Here is a 1,004-nt window from a genome sequence, read left to right as displayed (position 1 = left end):
TGTAAGAACACTGGATTTGGGTCCCTGAGGTGCTGATAAAATTTTATTTTTTGGCTTACATAATTATTATATGGGCATTCAGTAATTGTTGGACTTTACATGTGTGGACTTTATGGGTTTTTGCAATTGTATTTCACAATAAAAAGAAACAAAAGGCAGCTATTTTTAGTATTACTTAAATGTTAATTTATGTAATAATCCCTTAAACCCGATCTGAGTCCCCACTCAAGTAAATTTTAATATGGCATACTACTTTAAAAAACTAATTAGTTCAACTTTGTAGTAAACTGGCAGCTTCGACCCACATCCACTCTAACACCTATTGCAGAAGGAGGCTGGCTGTTTACACTAAGCCTCCTAGTTGCTGCATCCCCTCTGCTCATAGTCCAAGGAGGTAGCTCAGAAATTGAGTCTGAGAACAGAGGCTGGGTGTGGTGGCTCACGCCTGTAATCCCAACACTTTGGGAGGCTGAGGCAGGTGGATCACCTGAGGTCAGGAGTTCGAGACCAGTCTGGCCTAGATGGTGAAACCCCATCTCTACTAAAAATACAAAAATTAGCTGGGTGTGATGGTGCGCACCTGTAATCCCAGCTACTTAGGAGGCCAAGGCAGGAGAATCGCTTGAACCCGGGAGGCAGATGTTGCAGTGAACCGCTGCACTCCAGCCTGGGCAACATAACCAGATCTGTCTCAAAAAAAAAAAGAAAAAGAAATTAAGAACCAAACGTATAATTCAGTTGTAGGGTGTGGCCACCCTCCTTTGACCAAAGTAGTTCTCTGTTTTACATACACAATGCCCCCATTTTTCTTTGAAGAAATATGGCTAAAGTTTGAAAACCACTGATGACATATTCAGAACTTGGGTTTTATCATTTTTAAGTGTCTAAGCCCTGGTACACTGAAAACAGTATAAGGAAATCACTAGATGATTCCCTCCCAAATCACCTTTTTGTACATTTGTCTCTAGCTTCCAAGTTATATACATTGCACATGATAGTCCCAC

Source organism: Homo sapiens, chromosome 4, assembly GCF_000001405.40.
Source record: "Homo sapiens chromosome 4, GRCh38.p14 Primary Assembly".
NCBI classification, from domain to species: domain Eukaryota; kingdom Metazoa; phylum Chordata; class Mammalia; order Primates; family Hominidae; genus Homo; species Homo sapiens.
Note: the sequence above shows the minus strand (reverse complement) of the source record.